This window comes from Homo sapiens, chromosome 7 (assembly GCF_000001405.40).
Source record: "Homo sapiens chromosome 7, GRCh38.p14 Primary Assembly".
Taxonomy (NCBI): domain Eukaryota; kingdom Metazoa; phylum Chordata; class Mammalia; order Primates; family Hominidae; genus Homo; species Homo sapiens.
In genome coordinates this window covers 138,629,187-138,651,891 of record NC_000007.14, presented here as the reverse complement: position 1 = coordinate 138,651,891, position 22,705 = coordinate 138,629,187, and the positions used below count along the sequence as shown (strand labels likewise).

The 22,705-nt window shown below is 44.7% G+C and overlaps 1 protein-coding gene and 1 pseudogene across 10 annotated transcripts in view; both read left to right on the top strand.

The window, feature by feature from the left end:
* The window catches only part of SVOPL (SVOP like), a 107,078-nt gene that overhangs the window by 49,471 nt on the left and 34,902 nt on the right, over nt 1-22,705 (top strand). For all 10 annotated transcript variants that reach the window (NM_001139456.2, XM_011515797.3, XM_024446655.2 and 7 more), the window contains 3 exons: nt 2,755-2,880; nt 7,047-7,175; nt 21,770-21,843. In NM_001139456.2, the coding sequence (NP_001132928.1) occupies nt 2,755-2,880; nt 7,047-7,175; nt 21,770-21,843 (329 nt within the window). The remainder of the gene's footprint in view (nt 1-2,754; nt 2,881-7,046; nt 7,176-21,769; nt 21,844-22,705) is intronic.
* On the top strand, nt 5,402-5,795 carry RPL21P73 (ribosomal protein L21 pseudogene 73; annotated as a pseudogene).

Sequence of the window (22,705 nt, the reverse complement as noted above, 5' to 3'; positions counted from 1 at the left end):
TTCCTTTCAGTTGAACACTTAGAGACCACTATAGGATTACTAATTGATCAAATTTCAATACTGTTGTATCTGAGGGCATAGGAAGGCTCAAGGAGAGGAGAGAAACCAAAGAATAGCCAGTAAGTGGAGCCATGAGACTCCACAGCATCTATTGAGTTCATATCTTATACAGGTGCAGTTTGCGGTGCCCCCAAACAATGAAAATAATTGTTGTAGTGGAAGATACATAGAAAATCATGGGTCACAGACTACCATAACAGATGCAAAAATAATGATAAAGTTTGAAATATTGCGAGAATTACTAAAACGTGACAGAGATATGAAGTGAGCACATGCTATTGGGAAAATGGCACCAATAGACTTGCTGAAGACAGGATTGCAACAAACCTTCAATTTGTTAAAAAAAAATTGCAATATTTGCAAAGTGCACTAAAGCAAAGCACGATTAAAAGGAGGTGTGCCTGTGCATGTTTATTTTTGGCTGGTTGATTGTTCTTCGGTTGATACACTGTCTATTATTTTGTACCAACCAAAGAGGCCTGGGAATGCTTGAAGCCATAGGTCCAATTCCAAGGTTTTCTGAGCCCAGGATGATCATCATCCAATAGCATTTAGAACACAGTAACCAAATAGTCTGATGACCGGTTTCACTGGAATGACAGAAGCCTAGGGATGCATCCAGGATAAACTTTCTTCCACACCGAGCTTTCAGTGGTAGGTCCCAGCTGCTACCCCTTTAGGCTGTCCTACCTCCCTTCCAACGATCCTGGTGGTTCCAAGTCCAGAACTGGCTCATACCTGAGGGAATGTGCCAAAATTGCCTCCTTTAGGTGCTCTCAATCCCTCCTCAGGCCCCTGCTGGCCATTGATTAGAGGTTTCGAATCCAGAAGACAGGTCAGTCTAGGTGCCCTGTCCCATCTACACTTAACCAAAAGCCCTGATTTTTCAGAGGAACGAGGAGAAAGATGACCCTTCCCGCTGAAGCCTTATACACTTGGCAATAAATAAAGCAGTAGGAAAATACTTTCAAATTTATTTTTTGTTAATAAACATAGGTGACAATTTTGTTGTTGTTGTTGAGACAAAGTCTCTCTCTGTTACCCAGGCTGGAGTACATTGGTGTGATCACAGCTCCCTGCAGCCTCGAACTCCTGGGCTCAAGTGATCCTTCCACCTCAGCCTCCTAAGTAGCTGGGACTACAGGTGCATGTCATGGTGCCTAGTGAATTTTTAAATTTTTTTTTGTGGAGATGGAGTCTTGCTTTGTTGCCCAGGCTAGTCTCAAACTCCTGGCTTCAAGTGATTCCCCTACCTCAGCCTTCCGAAGTGTTGGGATAACAGGCATGAGCCACCGCACTGGCCCCAAAATCTTTCTCTACAACCTAGAGCGCCTCCTTAACCTTCAGACCTAGGTAGCCAATGACCCGATAGTTACTTGAATGTCTTACAGGCTCCTCAATACAAGATATTCAGAACTAATCTCTTCTTCCCCTTAAGCCTCTTATTTCTGTTTCCAATTTCAGTTAATAGCAAACACTTTCCCCTCAGTGATCTTGGAACACAAACTCAGGAGGCATCCCGGACCCTCCCTGTCCCTCATCCCCAATCACAAGCCCTACTAACACACCCTCTATTATTAGACCTTCAGTCGAAACGTCCATCAGTGAACCGTGTCACCTTTATCTCCAAAATGTGTTAATCCATCCGTTAAAAAATTTTTGTACAATTTGTTGAAAATGTATCAATTAAAAATAAGAATTTTGCTGGATGCAGTGGCTCGCGCCTGTAATCCCAGCACTTTGGGAGGCCAAGGTGGGCAGATCACGAGATCAGGAGTTTGAGACCAGCCTGACCAACACGGTGAAACACTGTCTCTACTAAAAACACAAAAATTAGCTGGGTGTGGTGGCACGCGCCTATAATGCCAGCTACTGAGGAGGCTGAGGCAGGAGAATTGCTTGAACCCGGGAGGCAGAGGTTGCAGTGAGCTGAGATTGTGCCACTGCCCTCCAGTCTGGGCGACAGAGCAAGACTCTGTCTCAAAAACAAACAAACAACCTTTTTTTTCACCATTCACTACTAAAATCCCATTCAATGCTATATCACTGACCTGGTCTACTGCAGTAGCCTTGTTACTGGCTTGCTTATTCATTGCCTCTTTAGCAATATTGTCCCTGATGACTCAAGTCCCACTCTATCACACTTTTCTATTTTCCTTACAGCCCTTACTGCTTTCTGAAATAGTCTTGTTTTTGTTGGTAACAGAGTTCTTTAGTGATGAAATAGTCACCCCGGGCTAGGCTCAGCGGCTCACACCTGTAATCCCAGCATTTTGGGAGGCTAACGTGGGTGGATCATTTGAGGTCAGGAGTTCGAGACCAGCCTGGCCAACATGGTGAAATCCTGTCTCTACTAAAAATACAAAAAAAATGAGCTGGGCGTGGTGGCACATGCCTATAATCCCAGCTACTCGGGAGGCTGAGGCATGAGAATCATTTGAACCCAGGAGGCAGAGGGTTCAGTGAGCCGAGGTTGGATCACTGCACTCCAGCCTGGGTGAGAGAGTGGACCCTGTCTCAAAACAAAACAAAACAAAAGGCAAAATGCTGGACAAAGTGGCTCCCAAAAGAAGATATGTGAAGCACATGGGACAGAAGGAATTTTAATCTTTCTAAAAATATATATTTTTCCTTTTTTTTTTTCATTGTCATAATTCCCCAAAGAACTTTAATCCTGGACTTCTCTCTTCCTAGGTGTTCTGGCTTGCGGGCTCCCTGCTCATCATTGGCTTGGCCTCTGTGATCATCCCCACCATCGGGTGGCGCTGGCTCATTCGCGTCGCCTCCATCCCGGGCATCATCCTCATCGTGGCCTTCAAGGTGGGGAAGCACTTGTGGCTCCTTCCTGTCCCCTCCTCCTGCTGGTCCAGTGGCCTTCATGCCCCACAAATATCTTTTATTTTCCCCCTCGAGACAGAGTCTCTCTTTGTTGTCCAGGCTGCAGTGCAGAGGTGCAATCTCGGCTCACTGCAGCCTCTGCCTCCCAGGTTCAGGTGATTCTCCTGCCTCAGCCTCCCGAGTAGCTGGGATTACAGTCATGTGCCACCATACCCAGCTAATTTTTTTTTTTGAGATGGAGTCTCCCCAGGCTGGAGTGCAGTGCCGCGACCTCGGCTGGAGTGCAGTGGCGCTGGAGTGCAGCGTCCCCCAGGCTGGAGTGCAGTGGCGCGACCTCGGCTCACTGCAAGCTCCGCCTCCCGGGTTCACGCCATTCTCCTGCCTCAGACTCCTGAGTAGCTGGGACTACAGGCGCCCACCACCGCGCCTGACTAATTTTTTTTTTTTTTTTTTTTTTTTTGGATTTTTAGTAGAGACAGTGTTTCACCGTGGTCTCGATCTCCTGACCTCATGATCCACCCGCCTCGGCCTCCCAAAGTGCTATTATTAGCAGAGAAGGGGTTTCATCACATTGGACAGGCTGATCTTGAACTCCTGGCCTAAAGTGATCCGCCCATCTTGGCACAAAGTGCTGGGATTACAGGCATGAGCCACCGCGCCAGGCCATCTTTCTCACATCCTATTACCTTTATTGAGGAGTCTGTCTCAACCAGCGGGCAGCCCTCACCTCCCTTAGCCTGCCTCGTTGCCCCTCTTCCTAGAAGTTTTGTCTGACGGCTCCGTCCTGTTTTTGCTGACTCCACTCTCTCCTTCAGCACCACCTGTTGGATGCTGTTGACATACTCCCAGGCCACCACAGGCTTCTCTCCCACTCATCTGTAGGTTGTTCAACTGTAGAATCATCATCTTCCTTAGTTTGCAGTACAATTCTACTCATTCAAAGACAAGATTGACCACTCAGCAGAACCGGGGTTTTAGTTTGATGTCACCTACCCTATGGAATCAAAGAATGTCAGAATTCAGAAAGGTCCTTGATGGCCATTCATTCTAAACCTCGACTCAATACAGGCATCCCATGTAGAAGCAGGTCTCTGCCAGAAAGCTGCTAGCTTCAGGCATGTGACTATTTTTTTTTTTTTTTTTTTTGAAACGGAGTCTTACTCTATTGCCCAGGCTGGAGTGCAATGGCACAATCTCGGCTCACTGCAACCTCCACCTCCCATGTTCAAGTGATTCTCCTGCCTCAGCCTCCTGAGTACCTGGGGTTGCAGGCTTGCACCACCACGCCCGACTAATTTTTGTATTTTAGTAGAGATGGGGTTTCACCATGTTGGCCAGGCTGGTCTTGAACTCCTGACTTAGTGATCCACCCGCCTCAGCCTCCCAAAGGGCTGGGATTACAGGTGTGAGCCACCACACCCGGCCAGACATGTGACTACTTTATAGATTTCAACAGTATATCCCATCTCCAGGCACCCCTAGCTGTTAAAGTCTTTCCTATGTTGAGCAGAATTTTCTCCCTATAAATTTACCTGCAGGTCCTACTCTGTCTCTCAGGAAGACCATAGAGCTATCTTCTCGCCATGTCATCTTTTTTTCATTTTTCTTTTTTGAGATGGCGTTTCACTCTTGTTGCCCAGGCTGGAGTGCAATGGTGCGATCTCAGCTCTTCGCAACCTCTGCCTCCCGGGTTCAAGCAATTCTCCTGCCTCAGCCTCCAGAGTAGCTGGGACTATAGGTGCCAGGTGCGTGCCACCACACCCAGCTAATTTTTGTATTTTTAGTAGAGATGGGGTTTCACCATGTTGGCCAGGCTGGTCTCAACCTCCTGACCTCGTGATCTGCCCACCTCGGCCTCCCAAAGTGCTGGGATTGCAGGTGTGAGCCACTGCGCCCGGCCATCATCCTCTTAAATATGTATGAATCTATGGCCCCTAAGCCTTTCCTTCTCTAAGCAATGTCATTACCTTCAAGTCTTCCTCATGACAGCTGGCCCCAGAGCCATGTCCATTTTCTTCTGGACAAGCCCAGTTGGCCAGTGCCTTCTATGCAGTGCACTTTTGCTGAGAATCACACACAGGCCCCAGGTGCTCGGGGACCAGTGAGCTTAGTAAGCCACTTGCTTCCTGTGGGCAGATTGTCTGCCTCTGTTGGTGTAGTCTAAGACTTTCTGCTGGCCAGACATGGTGGCTCATGTTTGTAATCCCAGCACTTTAGAAAACCAAGGCAGGAGGATCGCTTGAGCCCAGGAGTTCAAGACCAGCCCGGGCAACATGGCAGAACCCCATCTCTATTAAAAATAAAAATTTTAGCTGGGTGTTGTGGTCCGTGCCTGTGGTCCCAGCTACTCAGGAGGCTGAGATGGGAGGGTTGCTCGGGCCTGGTTGGTCAAGGCTGCAGTCAGCTATGATTGCGCCACTGCCTTCTAGACTGGGCAACAGAGCAAGACTCTGTCTCTCAAAAAAACAAAAAACCAACAACAACAAAAACCAACACAAAGGGCTTCCTTTTGACCAGAACTGCCATCTTCCAGTAAGTCACCAAAATGACCTACACAAAGGGAAAGAGGAGAGGTCACCAGACCTCTTAGACAACATGGAGTTGTTCCTTTGGCCACATACCTATGAATCTGTAAGAAGGTGATATTGTAGACATCAAGGGGATGGGCGCTGTTTAAAAGGAATGCCCCCAGGTGTTACTGTGGCAGAACTGGAGGAGTCTATGATGCTACGCAGCTTGCTGTTGGCATTGTTGTAAACAAACAGGTTATGGGCCAGATTCTTGTCAAGGGAATTGATGCGCATATTGAGTACACTAAGCACTCTAGGAGCCGAGATAGCTTCCTGAAACTCGTGCAGAAAATGATCAGAAAAACAAGCCAGCCGGGCGCGGTAGCTCACGCCTGTAATCCCAGCACTTTGGGAGGCTGAGGTGGGTGGATCACTAGGTCAGGAGTTCGAGACCAGCCTGGCCAACATGGTGAAACCCCATCTCTACTAAAAATACAAAAATTAGCCAGGCGTGGTGGTGCGTGCCTGTAATCCCAACTACTCAGGAGGCTGAGGCAGGAGAATTGCTTGAACCCGGGAGGTGGAGGTTGCAGTGAGCTGAGATTGCACCACTGCACTCAGCTTGGGCGACAGAGCGAGACTCCATCTCAAAAAACAAAACAAAACGAAACAAAAAAACAAGGAAGCCGAAGGGAAGTATACCTGGGTTCGGCTGAAGCACCAGTCCTGTTCCACCCAGAGAGGCACATTTGTGAGAACCATGGCGGGGAGCCTGAGCTGCTGGAATCTTCTCCCTATGAATTCGTGGCATATTAACTGCAAAAAATAAAAAGATCTCTGGACTGTTTTAAAGGGATTGTGGAGGTGTTGAAGGAGGTGACTTCTGATTGTGGAAGAGATTATGTGCTAGGAAGCTGGCATATTGCTGTGGAGGCTGGGCATGAGGCAAGAGGAAAAAGGCTGGAAAATCAAGTGTCAGAATAACCAACAGGGGGACCCAAACTGCCCTCTGGCCATGGGAATGTGGGGCCAGGTGCTGCTGTGGAGGTGCTTTTCTGAGGAAGAGCCAACAGCCTTGATTGCGTGAGGCGTGAGAGACGGGAGGTGGTCAGAGTTGATTCTCGAGCTTCAGTGGAAGTCCATAATGTTTTCTGCGTGCGATGTTCAAAATATTCAGTATTCAGTGGGTTGAGAGCCTTCACAATCAGAACTGATTCCTCCACCGTGTGGGTGCTGGAGCCCCCTGTTCCTGTCACCCTTTGGTGGTTGCATGGTGGGGAGGTCCTGGGGTTCCTGGAGAGGGGGAGGGGGTGGAGAGGGGTGCCCGCAGCAGTGGCTATTTAACAATTGAAAGTGAGAATTTCATTATGTCAACAACTAGGTTGGGCCCTATTGGTGCAAAACTGAGTATCAGCCTGCCGTCATCCTGGAAGGGACTATGATAAGGAGAACATGACCTTTTTTGTTCCAAATCAACTTTGAATCCAACAGAATACCTGCTACATTGCATGCCTTTAAGCTGGTTACATACTTTTCCTATCTTGGGAAACTAGGACTGTAGTGTATAGAGCAATAATAGCTGTACCCCTGGGTTCTATAGCAGTGGCCACTCTGATGTTCTTTGTAATCTCTACCCAGTTTATTCCTGAATCTGCCCGGTTCAATGTCTCCACTGGGAACACTCGGGCTGCCCTGGCCACTCTGGAGCGCGTTGCCAAGATGAACCGCTCGGTCATGCCGGAGGGGAAGCTGGTGGAGCCCGTCCTGGTGAGTGCTGGCCCCCGAGGTCTTCTCCTATCACCAGTGGCCACTGGGAAATCCCCTCAGTTGTGGAAGGCTGGAGGGAGGGGGGACCCTTGTTCTCTAGTCCTGTCTGAGAGGCAGGGCGATGGCCAGGAAAGATGTGAGGCTACATTCATTTTCACTGTGAGCCATGGGAGCCTAGTGAGTTACCTATCTTTGTTTTTCTTATCAATAAAATGGGAATAATAACACCCACCTTGCAGAGCTAATAACATGATTTGGCATCATTGTCAATAGATGGGAGATTGTTTTCTTTTTTGTACTGGCCTTGTTTTATTTTGTTAGGAAGGTTATAAACCTCATTACATGACTTTTTTCATATCTCTGAAATAGTTTCTATAAGGTAGGTGTTAACCTCTTTGAACATTTGGTGAAATTGGCTCTAGAGTAGTTTGACCTGATATCTATTTTGAGTGGTTGGAGAATAGCAAGACATCGTTGAGCAGAGAGTTCCTTTTTTTTTTTTTTTTTTTTTTTTTTTTTGATGGAGTCTTGCTCTGTCACCAGGCTGGAGTGCAGTGGCACGATCTCAGCTCACTGCAACCTCTACCTCCCGGGTTCAAGTGATTCTCCTGTGTCAGCCTCCCGAGTAGCTGGGACTACAGGTGCCCGCCACTATGCCCAGCTATTTTTGTGTTTTTAGTAGAGACAGGGTTTCACCATGTTGGCCAGGATGGTCTTGATCTCTTGACCTCGTGATCCACCTGCCTCGGCCTCCCAAAGTGCTGGGATTATAGGCGTGTCTAAATTGTGGTAAAATATACATAACATATAATTTATTATCTTAACAGTTTTTAAATGTACAGTTCAGTGATATTAAGTACATTTGTATTGTCATGAAACCATAACCACCATCCATCTCCAGAACTCTTCATCTTAACAAAGCTGAAATTCTATACTCATTAAACAAAAACTTTGTTCCCCCTCCCCCACCCTCTAAAAACCACTATCCTATTGTTTGTCTCTATAAAATTGACTATTCTAGATCCCTCACACGTAGAATCATACAGTGTTTGTCTTTTTGTGACTGGTTCATTTCATTTCGCATAATGTCCTTAAGGTTCATCCATGTAGCATAGGTCAGAATTTTCTTCCTTGTTAAGGCTGAATAATATTTCATTGTATGGATAGGCCACGTTTTGCTTATGTGTTTGTTGATGAACACTTCTACTGTTCAGCTATTGACTGATGCTACTATGAACACGGGTGACCAGGTAGCTCTTCAAGGCCTCACTTTCTTTTTTTTTTTTTTTTTTTTGAGATGGAGTCTCACTCTTGCCCAGGCTGGAGTGCAGTGGCGTGATCTTGGCTCACTGCAACTTCCGACTCCCTGGTTCAAGCAATTCTCCTGCCTCAGCCTCCCAAGTAGCTGGGACTACAGGCGCCTGCCACCATGCCCAGCTAATTTTTGTATTTTTAGTAGAGACGGGGTTTCACCATGTTGACCAGGATGGTCTCGATTTCCTGACCTCGTGATCCGCCCTCCTCGGCCTCCCAAAGTGCTGGGATTACAGGCGTGAGCCACCGCACCTGGCCAAGGCCTCACTTTCAATTCTTCTGGATATATACCCAGATGTGGAATTGCTGGATCCTGTGATAATTCTATGTTTAATTTTTTTGAGGAATCACCATACTGTGTTCTACAGCAGCTGAACCATTTTACATTCCCACCAACAGTGCACAAGGGATCCAGTTTCACTACATCCTGGGCAGAGGAGTTTTTAAAAAACTACGATTCAATTTATTTAAAGGTTACAGTCTACTTTTGTTTATACTTTTGATTGAGTCAATTTTGGTTATATATATTATTATTAAAAATTTTGTTTCTTCTTTTTTTTTTTTTTTTTTTGGAGGTAGGAGTCTCGCTCTATCGTCCAGGCTGGAGTGTAGTAGCGTGATCTCGGCTTACTGCAACCTCTGCCTCCTGGGTTCAAGTGATCCTCCTGCCTCAGCCTCCTGAGTAGCTAGGACTATCAGTGCGAGCCACCAACACCCGGCTAATTTTTTGTGTTTTTTGTAGAGACAGTGTTTCCACCATGTTGCCCAGGCTGATCTTGAACTCCCGAGCTCAAGAGATCTGCCCACCTCAGGCTCCCAAAGTGCTAGGATTACAGGTGTGAGCCACCGTGCCCAGCCTTGGTTATATATATTTTAAAGAAAATTATTTAATTTATCTGGGTTTTCAAATTTATTGATATAATGTTTTCAGTGTTCTGAATTTTAAAAATCTATGCGATAATGTGCCCTTTTTATTTTTAATACTGTTTATTTGTGCTTTCTCTCTTTTCTTGGTCCAGCTTACTAGAAGTTTGTGTATTTCATTAGACTTCAAACAACAAGCTTTTGCGGGGGCGGGGTCCATTCTCTTTATTGATTTTTTTTTTTTTTTTTTTGGCTAATTTCCGTTTTATTTTCTTTGACTTTTTTTGTTCTAGCTTGTTGAGTTCAATACTTAGATGATCATTTATTTTCAGTGTTTTTTATTTTTAATAAACAATTAGCTACATTCATGTCTCAAGAGTAAATGTATTTCTATTTCTCAAGATTTATTTTTTAAACCACTGAATTATCTGTTAGCTATGTTATTATAATGTAACTGTATTTTGGTTAAGAGGATGTTGTTATTTGGAATTTATTGAAACTTTCTATTTGTCCTCTATATAGGGACTTCTTGTTAATGTCACAAGAGTGTTTAAAAAGAATCTGTGTTCTCCTTGAGTATATATGTACGTGTGTGTGTGTGTGTGTGTGTGTATACACATACATATATACTCATTGACTGTATATACCCATTGACTATATATACATACACACTCATTGACTATATATATGTTATATATATATGTTATATATATATATATATATAACATATATATATTTGATACGTCTAGATTTTTGCCTCTTGAGTTAACAGTTTTTCAAAAAGACAATGACTTTCTCCATTTCTCCTTATAGGCCTAATAGGGTATATTTCATAAATTTTGAGGTTATCTTTTTTTTTTTTTTTTTGAGATGGAGTTTCGCTCTTGTCATCCAGGCTGGAGTGTAGTGGCATGATCTTGGCTCACTGCAACCTCTGCCTCCTGGGTTCAAGCGATTCTCCAGTCTCAGCTTCCTGAGGAGCTGGGATTACAGGCGCCTGCCATCATGGCTGGCTAATATTTGTGTTTTTAGTAGAGATGGGGTTTCGCCATGTTGGTCAGGCTGGTCTCAAACTCCTGACCTCAGGTGATCCGCCCTCCTCGGCCTCCCAAAGTGCTGGGATTACAGGCGTGAGGCCCCGCGCCCAGCTGAGGCTGTCTTTTCATTGCATTCTAGCATATGATTGATTTTTGTCCATGCATTAGTCTTATTACTTGAAGTATTTCTTTATCCTTATATGGCTTTGGACCTTACATTTTTTTTTTTGTTGTAGTTGTCTAAACTGAATTTAAGTTTTTTTTTTTTTTTTAATAATTTCAGCTTTTATTGAGTTATTTTTTGTGATGGGGTCTCACTCTGTCACCTCGGTTGGAGTGCAGTAGTACTGTCATAGCTCACTGTAGCCTTGACCTTCCAGGCTCGATCCTCCTACCTCAGCCTCCAGAATAGCTAGGACCATAGGTGTGCGCCATCATACCCAGCTAATTTTTAAATTTCTTGTAAACATGGAGTCTTGCTTTGTTGCTCAGGCCAGTCTTGAACTCCTGGGGTCAAGCAGTCCTCCCTCCTTGGCCTCCCAAATTTATGGGATTACAGGTGTGAACCACTGTAACCCAGTCAACTCTTATTTTAGATTCAGGGGGTACATGTGTGGGTTTGTTACATGGGTCTATTGCATGATGCTGAGGTTTGGGGTATGATTGATCCTGTCATCCAGGCAGTGAGCATAGTACCCAATAGTTAGTTTCTCAGCCCTTGCCCTTTCCCTCCCCACTCTAGTAGTCTGCAGTGTCTATTGCTGTCCTCTTTATGTCCATGAGTACCCAATGTTGAGCTCCCACTTAAAGGTGAGAACATATGGTATTTGGCTTTCTGTTCCTGCATTAATTTTCTTAGGATAATGGACTCCAGCTGCATCCATGTTGTTGTAAAGGACATGATTTCATTCTTATTTGTGGCTGCCTTAATCTGTTTAAAAATTTTTTAAAAAGCTGGGTGCAGTGGCTCACGCCTGTAATCCCAGCACTTTGAGAGACTGAGGTGGGTGGATTACCTGAGGTCGGGAGTTACACCTGAGGTTGGGAGTTTCAGACCAGCCTGACCAACACAGAGAAACCCTGACTCTAGTAAAAATATAAAATTAGCCAGGCATGGTGGCACATGCCTGTAATCCCAGCTACTCGGGAGGCTGAGGCAGTAGAAATGCTTGAACCCGGGAGGCAGAGATTGCGGTGAGCCGAGATGGCACCATTGCACTCCAGTTGGGGCAACAAGAGCGAAACTCCATCTCAAAACATAAATAAATATAAAAAAAAAAGTTAAAAAAAAATCATTGTCTTTGAGAATGAAGAGCCTTAAATTCTATTTTCTCTCATGTTAACATGTTGAAAGTAGCTTTGGTTAGTATTTTCCATGTGCATCTTTTTTCAGCTCTTTATTTTTAGTCTTTCTACACTGCTTTGCTTTAAATGTATTTCTTGAGTCCGGGTGTGAGATAGCTCAGGCCTGTAATCCCAGCACTTTGGGAGGCTGAAATGAGAAGATCACTTGAGGCCAAGATTTTGAGACCAGCCTGGGCATCAAAACAGGACCCCTTTTTACCGCTCCCCGCTAAAAAAAAAAAACAGGCATAGTGGCGCACACCTGTAGTCCCAACTAGCTATTTCAGAGGTTGAGGCAGGAGGGTTGCTTGAGTCCAGGAGGTTGAGGCTACAGTGAGCTATGGAGGCTTGAGCCTAGGATGTCAAGGCTGCAGTGAGCTATGATCGCACTGCTGTACTGGACCCTGTATTTTAGTAGCCCGGACAACAGGGCGAGACCCTGTCTCAAAGTATCTCTTGTAAAGCTATAGGTGATTTTTTTCCCCCTTCCTTTTCCTTTCCTTCCCATTCTTTTCTCTTCTTTTCTTTTTTTTTTTTTGAGACGGAGTCTCCCTCTGTCGCCCAGGCTGTAGTGCAGAGGCACAGTCTCTGCAACCTCTGCCTCCCAGGTTCAAGCGATTCTCCTGCCTCGGCCTCCCAAGTAGCTGGGATTACAGGCACCCGCCACCACGCCCAAATAACTTTCGTTTTTTTAATAGAGACAGGGTTTCACAATGTTGGCCAGGCTGGTCTTGAACTCCTGACCTCATGTGGCCCACCCACCTCAGCCTCCCAAAGTGCTGGGATTACAGGCATGAGCCACTGTGCCCAGCCGATATTCTTTTAATAATGAGTTGGACCCACTTACTTCTCCTGGCATATGTGGGCTTCTTTCATTTATTTTTATTTATTTATATATTTTTTGAGACAGAATCTTGCTCTGTTGCCCAGGCTGGAGTGCAGTGATGGGATCTCAGCTCACTGCAACCTTCGCCTCCTAGGTTCAAGCAATTCTCCTGCCTCAGCCCCCCAAGTAGCTGGGACTACAGGCATATGCCACCATGCCCAGTTAATTTTTGTATTTTTTTAGTAGAGGTGGGGTTTTGCCATTTTGGCCAGGCTGGTCTTGAGCTCCTGACCTCAGGTGATCCACCTGCCTCAGCCTTCCAAAGTGTTGGGATTACAGGCATGAGCCACTGTGCCTGGCCTGTTATTTATTTTGTATTTCTTCTTATTTGTGTGCACAGTTTCAGGAAGATATTTTGTGTTTCTTCTGAATCATGTCTTTCCTTGTCTCCTTGACTAACTTCTATTAGATTGAGTTTGCCTTTCCCTCCCCTGCACTTCCTTTTATTAACTTGGAATTAATGTACTTTCTTTTATTCTAGAGGTAGCCCTTAGCTATTGGAAACACACATTTGCAATATTTAATATTATTTGCTACCTTTACCTTTATCTGGTAACTGGTTTTTTCTTTCTCCTCTCTCATTTATATGGCTTTGGACCTTAAATTCTATTTTTTTTTCTTTGAACTTAAGTTTATTTTGTTTTTTTATAATTTCAACTTTTATTTTAGCTGTTTTTTGTGATGGGGTCTCACCCTGTCACCCAGCGGGAGTGCAGTGGTGCAATCATAGTTCACTGCAATCTTGACCTCGCAAGCTAGACAATACAAGGACGCTAAATATGATCTTGCCAATTATTGTCTTCCAAATCTTGTTTGCCCAGGATTTCAGTTACACTTTGTTCATAAGTTTTTCTAAATTGTCATTATTTTGGAGCCAGTATTTATTTAGATTTATTAACATTTTTATTGACTTTTGCAGTTTTTATTACTAATGAGTTTTTTGCATCTCCTTTCTATTGTGTTAATTTGGTTTTATACTTTTTTTTTTTTTTTTTTTTTGAGGTGGAGTCTCAATCTGCTGCCCAGGCTAGAGTACAGTGGCGCCATCTCGGCACACTGAAACCTCCCCTTCCTGGGTCCAAGCGATTCTCCTGCTTTAGCCCCTCAAGTAGCTGGGATTACAGGCAAGGGCCACCACACCCACTTAATTTTTATATTTTAGTAGAGATGGGGTTTCACCATGTTAGCCAGGCTGTTCTCAAACTCCTGACCTCAAGTGATCCACCTGCATTTACCTTGGAAAATGCTGAGATTACAGGTGTGAGCCACAACACCCGGCCAATTTGTTTTATTTTTTATTTATTTTATTTTTTATTTTTTGAGATGGAGGCTCGCTCTCTTGGCCAGGCTGGAGTGCAGTGGCACGATCTTGGCTCACTGCAACCTCTGCCTCCTGGGTTCAAGCGATTCTCCTGCATCAGCCTCCTGAGTAGCTGGGATTACAGGTGCCCGCCACCATGCCTGGCTAGTTTTTGTATTTTTAGTAGAGATGGCGTTTCACCATGTTGGCCAGGTTGGTCTCGAACTCCTGACCTCAAGTGATCTGCCTGCCTTGGCCTCCCAAAGTGCTGGAATTACAGGCATGAGCCACTACGTCTGGCCGATTTGGTTTTATTCTTAATATTTAAATGTTAGATCTCTGTGGGTTTAATTGGGTACAAGAAACACAGTACAGATTTAGCTTTGTTATATCCACATGACTAACCAGTTGCTCTGGGGGGTGTGTGTGTGTATGTATGTAGGTGTGTGTATCTATCTATCTATATATATATATATATATCTATCTATATCTATATCTATATCTATATATATATATCTATCTATCTATCTATATATATATATATGAGATGGAGTCTTGCTCTGTCACCTAGGCTGGCATGCAGTGGAGTGATCTTGGCTCACTGCAACCTCTGCCTCCTGAGTTCAAGTGTTTTTCATGCTTCAGCCTCCTGAGTAGCTGGGATTACAGGCTTGTACCACCACACCTAACTAATTTTTGTATTTTTAGTAGAGTTGGGGTTTCACCATGTTGGGCAGGCTGGCCTCGAATTCCTGGCCTCAAGTGATACACCCACCTCAACTTCCCAAAGTGCTGAGATTACATGCATCCACCACGCCCAGCCCATGATGTATATATTTTGAATAATCCATTCATTATATATTTGAATCTATTTTTGAACAATCTGTTCTAATGATAGATTTGTAGATTCAAGTATATATGGGGATTTATTATATGATAAAGAGAATGTTTCAAGTTGTCAAGAAAAGGATAGACAGGTCTGTTATTGGTATGATATGACACTGTTTTAATTATAGTATTTTATAATATACTTTTCATTTCTGATAGGGTAAATTCCCCTGGTCAAACATCTTTTTCAGAATTTTCCAAGCTATATTTTCAGGCTTATTTTACTAGAAAAATTTTGGAGCCACTTTATTAAGATCTACTCCCACCTTCCCCTCAAAATAAATAAATTAGTTAATTAAAATAAAATAAAATCCGCCGGGTGTGGTGGCTCACATCTGTAATCCCAGTACTTTGGGAGGCCGAGGTGGGTGGGTCACCTGAGGCCAAGAGTTCGAGACCAGCCTGGCCAACATGATGAAACTCTGTCTTTACTAAAAATACAAAAACTAGCCAGGCTTCGTGGCAGACACCTGTAATCCCAGCTACTTGGGAGGCCGAGGCACGAGAATCACTTGAACCCAGGAGGTGGAGGTTGCAGTGAGCCAAGATCACACCACTTTACTCCAGCCTGGGCAACATAATGAAACTCTGTCTCAAAAAAAAAAAAGAAAAATCCTATGAGAGTTTGAGATTTTGTTGACATTATAGGCTAATAATGTAGAGAGAATCAGTATCTTTGTAATACTGAGTATTCTTGCCCTGCTTTAAGTGTATTTCCCAATTTATTTCTTTTTATTTTTCTCAGCAACATTTTATAACTAATGTCAGTACTGCACATTTCTTATAAAATGTATTCCTATCCACTTTGTTTTTAAAAATTATTTTATAAACAGAATTTTAAAAATTATTATTTTTCAGCCGGGCCCAGTGGCTCATGCCTGTAATCCCAGCACTTTGGGAGGCTGAGGCAGGTGAATCACTGGGTCAGGAGTTCAAGACCAGCCTGACCAACATGGTGAAACCTCATCTCTACTAAAAATACAAAAAATTAGCTGGGTGTAGTGGTGTGCGCCTGTAGTCCCAGCTACTCCCAGCTGCTTGGGAGGCTGAGGCAGGAGAATCACTTGCATCTGGGAGGAGGAGGTTGCAGTAAGCTGAGATTGCGCCACTGTGACAGAGTAAGACTGTTTCAAAAAAATGTATATATATTTTTCTATCAGATTCATCACTTTTATTTTCTATGTTGTGTGGCTCACTTACTTTTGTGGTTGTTCTCTGAAGTATTTTTATAGCTTTATAACCCTCTTAACAGCAATTGCCAATTTCTTGATTGCTAAATGGCACCCATTTTGATAGGATTCCTTATGAATTGGTTGAAGAAGCCATTTCCCTGGAGAACAGCAAGAAGCATCTTTAACATGAGTATCAGGCACATTTGGGCATGCATGTGACCTAAACTAACTGCAAGACTTCACCATCTCCACGTGTTCATCCCTGGCTCCTGCCTACATCCCAGCTCCTTACCTTTCTCTCTCCACAGGACATTTATTCTTGGAGTTGACAAGTGTGTAAATCTCATATTTATCAAGTTTAAAACAAAACTCCTGGCTGGGTGTGGTGGTTCGCACCTGTAATCCCATTCCTTTGGAAGGCTGGGGCAGGAGGGTTGCTTGAGACCAGGAGTTCGAGACCAGCCTGGGCAATATAGTGAGACCCCCACCCCCATCTCTATTTAAAAAAAAAAAAAAGTAAAATAAAGCAGAACTCCTCATTTTCCTCCTCCAACCAGCTTTGTTTCCCCCTTTTGAGTCTTTTTATTGTGGCAAAATATACATAACAAGCAATTTACCATATTAACTTTTTTTTTTTTTTTGAGACAGTTTTGCTCTTGTCGCCCAGGCTGGAGTGCAATGGTGCAATCTTGGCTCACTGCAACCACTGCTTCATGGGTTCAAGCGATTTTCCTGCCTCAGCCTCCCAAGTAGCTGGGATTATAGGCATGTGCCACCACACCCAGCTAATTTTGTGTTTTTAGTAGAGATGGGGTTTCTCCATGTTGGTCAGGCTGGTCTCGAACTCCCGACCTCAGGTGATCCATCTGCCTTGGCCTCCCTCCCAAAGTGCTGGGATTACAGGCATGAGCCACTGCGCCCGGCCCATATTAACCTTTTAAAATTTCTGAGACAGGTTCTCGCTCTGTCACCCAGACTGCAGTGCAGTGGTGTGATCTTGGCTCACTGCAGCCTTGACCTCCTGGGCTCAAGCAATCCTCCTGCCTAAGCTCCTGAGTAGCTAGAACTACAGGTGTATGCCACCATGCCTGGCTATTTTTGTACAGTTTTTTGAGAAGACAGGGTTTTGACATGTTGCCCAAGCTGGTCTTGAACTCCTGGGCTCAAGCAATCCTCCCATCTCAGCCTCCAAAGTAGTTGGAATTGCAGGCATGTGCCACCATGCCTGGCTAATTTTTTTGTTTTTATTTACTTGATTTTTTAAAAGACAGGGTCTCGTTCTGTCATCCAAGCTGGAGTGCAGTGGTGTGACCTTGGCTCACTGCAGCCTCAACCTGCTGAGCTCAAGTGATCCTCCTGCCTCTGCCTCCTGAATAGCTGGGACTATAGGTGCACACCACCACACCTGGCTAATTTTTTTTTTTTTTTCTTATTTTGTAGCGACGGGGTCTCACTGGCCCAGGCTGGTCTTAAATTTCTGGCCCCAGGTGATCCTTCCACCTTGGCCTCCCAAAGTGCTGGAATTACAGGCGTGAGCCACCGTGCCTGCCTTAATTTTCTTATTTTTTCATAGAGATGAGGTCTTGCTATGTTGCTCAGGCTGGTCTCAAATCCTGGCCTCAAGCAGTCCTCTCATCTCTGCCTCCTAAAGTGCTGGGATAATAGGTGTGTGCTACTGCACCAGATCCTCAGTGCAGACTTTGATAGGATGAGGAAGAACAGGATCCAAGGATAATAGACATCTGGCAGAATGAGATGGCATCACCGCCAAGGCAGGGAATGAATGCATAACAGGGAGACCAGGAGGTACAGAGAAAAGCTGCTAGTACACAACCTTGCTAGGGCTGGCAGGATCATGGGAAAGGCTCTTCTGACCTCAGCTCATGCTCTGTGTCTGAGATGGGTCCATACCAGCAGTGCTACCCATGCCCTGAATCCTTGCTTTCTTGGGATCCTGTAGCCACCACGGGATGAGTTGATGTCTGAGTGTCCTACACACAGGCAAGAGGTGGGCTTCCCTGGGTGTTCCTGATTTGTTGCCGAGGACATCACTGATGACAAAAGTCTTGAATCCCACTACCATCTGGCCTACATTGTAAGTGTGAGGTGGCATGTACTCCATAGTAATGCAAATATCGTGAGCATTCAGTATGCTGAACCTTCCCCATATTCATCATTGTATTTTGGTAAGGTATTCTCACTTTCTTCTGTGGAGTGTTACCGCCATTATTATATGTATCTCAAAACCTATTATAACTGGAGCAGTGTGTCTGTTCGTTTTGCATTGCTATAAAGGAATACCTGAGACTGGGTGACTGTTAAAAGAGATTTATTTGGCTCATGGTTCTGCAGACTGTACAATCACGGCACCAGCATCTGCGTGGCTTCTGGTGAGGCCTCAGGAAGCCTCTACTCATGACAGAAAGTGAACAGGGAGCAGGCATGTTACATGGTGAGAGAAGGAGCGAGAGAGGTGCGAGGCTCTTTTAAACCAGCTGTCACATGAACTGGTAGAGTGAGAACTCACTCGTTACTGCAGGGAGGGCACCAAGCCCTTCATGAGGGATCCACCCCCACGACCCAAACACCTCCCATAAGCCTCCACCCCCGACACTGGGGATCACATTTCAACATGAGACTTGGAGGGGACAAATATCCAAACTATATTAAACAAGAAACCCGAACTTTCTTCCAAAGGATTCAGAATGATTCCATTATTCTAGTTTATTTTTTAAACATTGGAAATACACTCTCATGGGTTTGGAGTTCAGAAAGCTACTATAACAGCGTCAGCTCACTTCTTCCTTCCTACTGAGATACTGACAATCACATCTTATCGAGCAAAGCAGGGTGGGAGGATGAACTAGTTGCTAGGCAACTATGATTAAAAGAAGAAAGCTATTATGGTTTATAGAGACTACAACATAATCTTTAGGTGGCTGTAAAATTCTGATTGTCAATAGTGTAAACAGTAAAAACAGTTGCAAAAAGAAAAAGTCTTAACAGAGATAATTAACTCAAAACCACGGATAGCTGTAAGATTATAAGATAGCTGAGTACAACCGTTTTTGGCATGTGCTTTGTGAATTGAATGCAGTAGTTGCAACTCCAGGACTGAGGAGCACTGAGGTCAGAAATAAGCTCTCTCTCCTCTTTCCTCCTCCTTTTTCCTCCCGCCCCCATCCTCCCTCCACAACCCCCTGTCTCCCATCTTCCCTGCACATTCTCCATCCTCCCTTTCCACCCTGGCTCCCCTGTCTGGCCTCCTCCCTCCACATCCTACTTCCTCTGCTTTTCCTCTCCTACCTCACCTCTCCCTCCACCTTCTCCATCCCCCATTCTTCACCTTCCCTCTTCATCCTTCTGTTCCCACTTCCTCCTCCTCCCCACTTTCCTTCTCAAGCCTTCAGCTTGCGGCCCCCATCCATCATGCCCATTAAGTGATCTTCTTCACAGTCATCTGTCTGTTTATTTTTTGAGATGGAGTCTTGCTCTTGTCACCCAGGCTGGAGTGCAGTGGCATGATTGCAGTTCACTGCAACCTCCACCTCCCAGGTTCAAGCGAGTCTCCTGCCTCAGCCTCCAGAGCAGCTGGGATTACAGGTGCGTGCCATCACGCCTGGCTAAATGTTTTGTATTTTTAGTAGAGATGAGGTTTTACCATGTTGGCCAGGCTGGTCTTGAACCCCTGACCTCAGGTGATCTGCCAGCCTCAGCCTCCCAAAGTTCTGGGATCACAGGCATGAACCACCGTGTCTGGCCCTCCACAGACATCTCTTGAGCAAGGCCCAGAGCTACTGGCAGTAGACCCTGCCTTCATTCTGGTCACAGTCTTACAATCTGGTTAATGAAATGAGCATCACATATGAAGGAATAAAAAACAGAGCCCAGATGCTTAGAACCAGGTGGGGTGTAGGGGTGTGTGTATGTGTGTGTGTGTGTGTGTGTGTGATATCAGAGCAGAAGGGACTGAGCCATGGCAGTCTGAGCCACTTCAGGGGGATAAATGGGACATAAATTGAACACTAAAAGGAGAGTGAGCCTGCCGGGCATGGTGGCACATGCCTGTAATCTAAGCACTTTGGGAGGCCAAGGCGGGTGGATCACTTGAAGTCAGGAGTTTGAGACCAGCCTGGGCAACATGGTAAAACCCCGTCTCTACTAAAATTACAAAAATTAGCTGGACGATTTGATGTACACCTGTACTCCCAGCTACTCGGGAAGCCGAAGCACAAGGATTGCTTGAACCTGGGAGGCAGGGGTTGCAGTGAGCCAAGATCACGCCATTGCACTCTAGTGTGGGTGACAGAGCGAGACTCCTTCCCAAAAAAAAAGCTTTGGGGAGGGGAGAGGACACTGCAGGCCCCAGGAGATGTGCAGTGAGACCAGATGTGGGAATGTGCCGTGGGTCTTGGTCAGATTGGGAAGAATAGTGGAAGGATGGGGGGAGGTGGGGATGGTTAATGTGTACCAGAAAAAATAGAATAAGACTTACTATTTGATAGCAAAACAGTGGCTATAGTTAATAACTTACTCATACATTTTAGAATAACTTAAGGTGTGTAATTGGATTGTTCGTAACTTGAAGGATAGATGGTTGAGGGGATGGATACCCCATTTTCCATGATGTGCTTATTTCATGAGGTTTATCAAAACAGCTCATGTACCCCCATAAATAGACATACCTACTACGTGCCCCACAAAAATTAAAAATTAACCATTGGAGCAAAAGACCTCTAAGTTCCCTTCAAACTCTAGCTTTCTGTGACAACAAAATCTAGGACACCCAGGACCACATTCCCAGTGTCTCTAGAAACAGCCTGTAATCCCAGGTCTATTTCTGAGAAAAGAGCTGTTGGTTTTCAATGGCGTGCCCTCATCTGAAGCATTCCCAGCTTTACATAAAAATCCATTTCTGTGCCATCATGTAACTCTTCCTTGCTTTTTTTTTTTTTTTTTTCTTTTTTTGAGATGGAGTTTCACTCTCGTTGCCCAGGCTGCAGTGCAATGGTGTGATCTCGGCTCACTGCAACCTCCATCTCCTGGGTTCAAGTGATTCTCCTGCCTCAGCCTCCTGAGTAGCTGGGATTACAGGCATGCTCCACCATGTCCGGCTAATTTTTGTATTTTTGGTAGAGACGGGCTTTCGCCATGTTGGTCAGGCTGGTCTCAAGCTCCTGACCTCAGGTGATCCGCCCACCTCGGCCTCCCAAAGTGCTGGGATTACAGGCGTGAGCCCCCACACCCAGCCCATTCTTACTTGTTTTTATCCAAAGTTATTCAATAGGTACTATGGACAAGAACTTTTGCTAACTACCCCCCTTAGAGACAGAAAAAGAAATTAGGCGTTCTCTCCTTTTTCAACTTTATGCCGTTGTTTTCTTAACAAGTCTCATACTCTTTTTTAATATAAGAGTTTTTGTTTTAATGTTAATTTTAGAAGAATCTCTCATCAGTTTCACAGTCACTTTTCATGTTTCCTCCTACCATCCCCACCCCCGCGCCAGTGCTGGTGGGCAGAGGAAGAGCAAAAGGTTAGGATCTTAAGTTCAGTGAGCTTTGGTACCTGTCAATGATGAGAAAAAGCCAAAAGACAGATCTGGCTGAGACAGATGTGTTTAAAACAATTATCTCTGGGTTTGTGTCAGCTGTACTCATAGGAGCTGAGTGGTTATCGCAGGCCACCATGCTCCAATATGATTCTCATCTTCTATGATCGAAAACAGTGGAAACATCTCCGTTCATCCTTAAGCTGCTGAGTATGTTCTGTCTCCTTTTCATTACCCCAGGAAAAAAGAGGAAGATTTGCAGACCTATTGGATGCTAAATATTTACGGACCACATTACAGATCTGGGTCATATGGTAAGAGTGTAATGATTTCAAAGCTAGTTTTAAATAGAGGCATTGGGAGGAAGCCTATTTAAGTAAATCTATGTGAGTGCCACTGGGGAGAAAAACATAAGACTAACTCCAAATACTACAAAGACAAGCAATGTTTTGTCTTTCTACAAACACCACCACTACTAAATAAATAAGTAAATGGATACATAGACAGAGGAAAATTCCCTAATTGTCTTCAACCAGTTCTTAAATTTTTCTTGTGAGCATATGAGTTCACTTCCTAACTTTTGCAGCCTGGTCTTTTTCTCACCACATGACAGAAACTGGTCCTTTGAAGTCACCAATCATCGAGTCCAGTGGCACAGACTCTTGTGGTACCCTCTGTGATTCATTTCTCTGCAGCATGACCTTGAGTAAGCAAAGATTTTCTAAACAGGACTAAAACATGCTAACTATAAAGGAAAAGATTGATGAGTTTTAATACATTAAATTAGGAACTTAGGAACTGTGTCAAGGTATCATGAAGAAGGCCGGGTACGGTGGCTCACGCCTATAATCCCAGCACTTTGAGCACTTTGGGAGGCCGAGACAGGCGGATCACCTGAGGTCAGGAGTTCGAGACCAGCCTGGCCAACATGGTGAAACCCTGTTTCCACTAAAAATACAAAAAAATTAGCTGGGCATGGTGGTGGGTGCCTGTAATCCCAGCTACTTGGGAGGCTGAGGCAGGAGAATCTCTTGAACCCAGGAGGTGGAGGTTGCAGTGAGCCGAGATTGCACCACTGCACTCAAGCCTGGGTGACAGCATGAAACTGTCTCAAAAAAAAAAAAATCATGAAGAGCCTGAAAGGTAAGCCATCCATGGGGAGGAGAAATTTGCCAT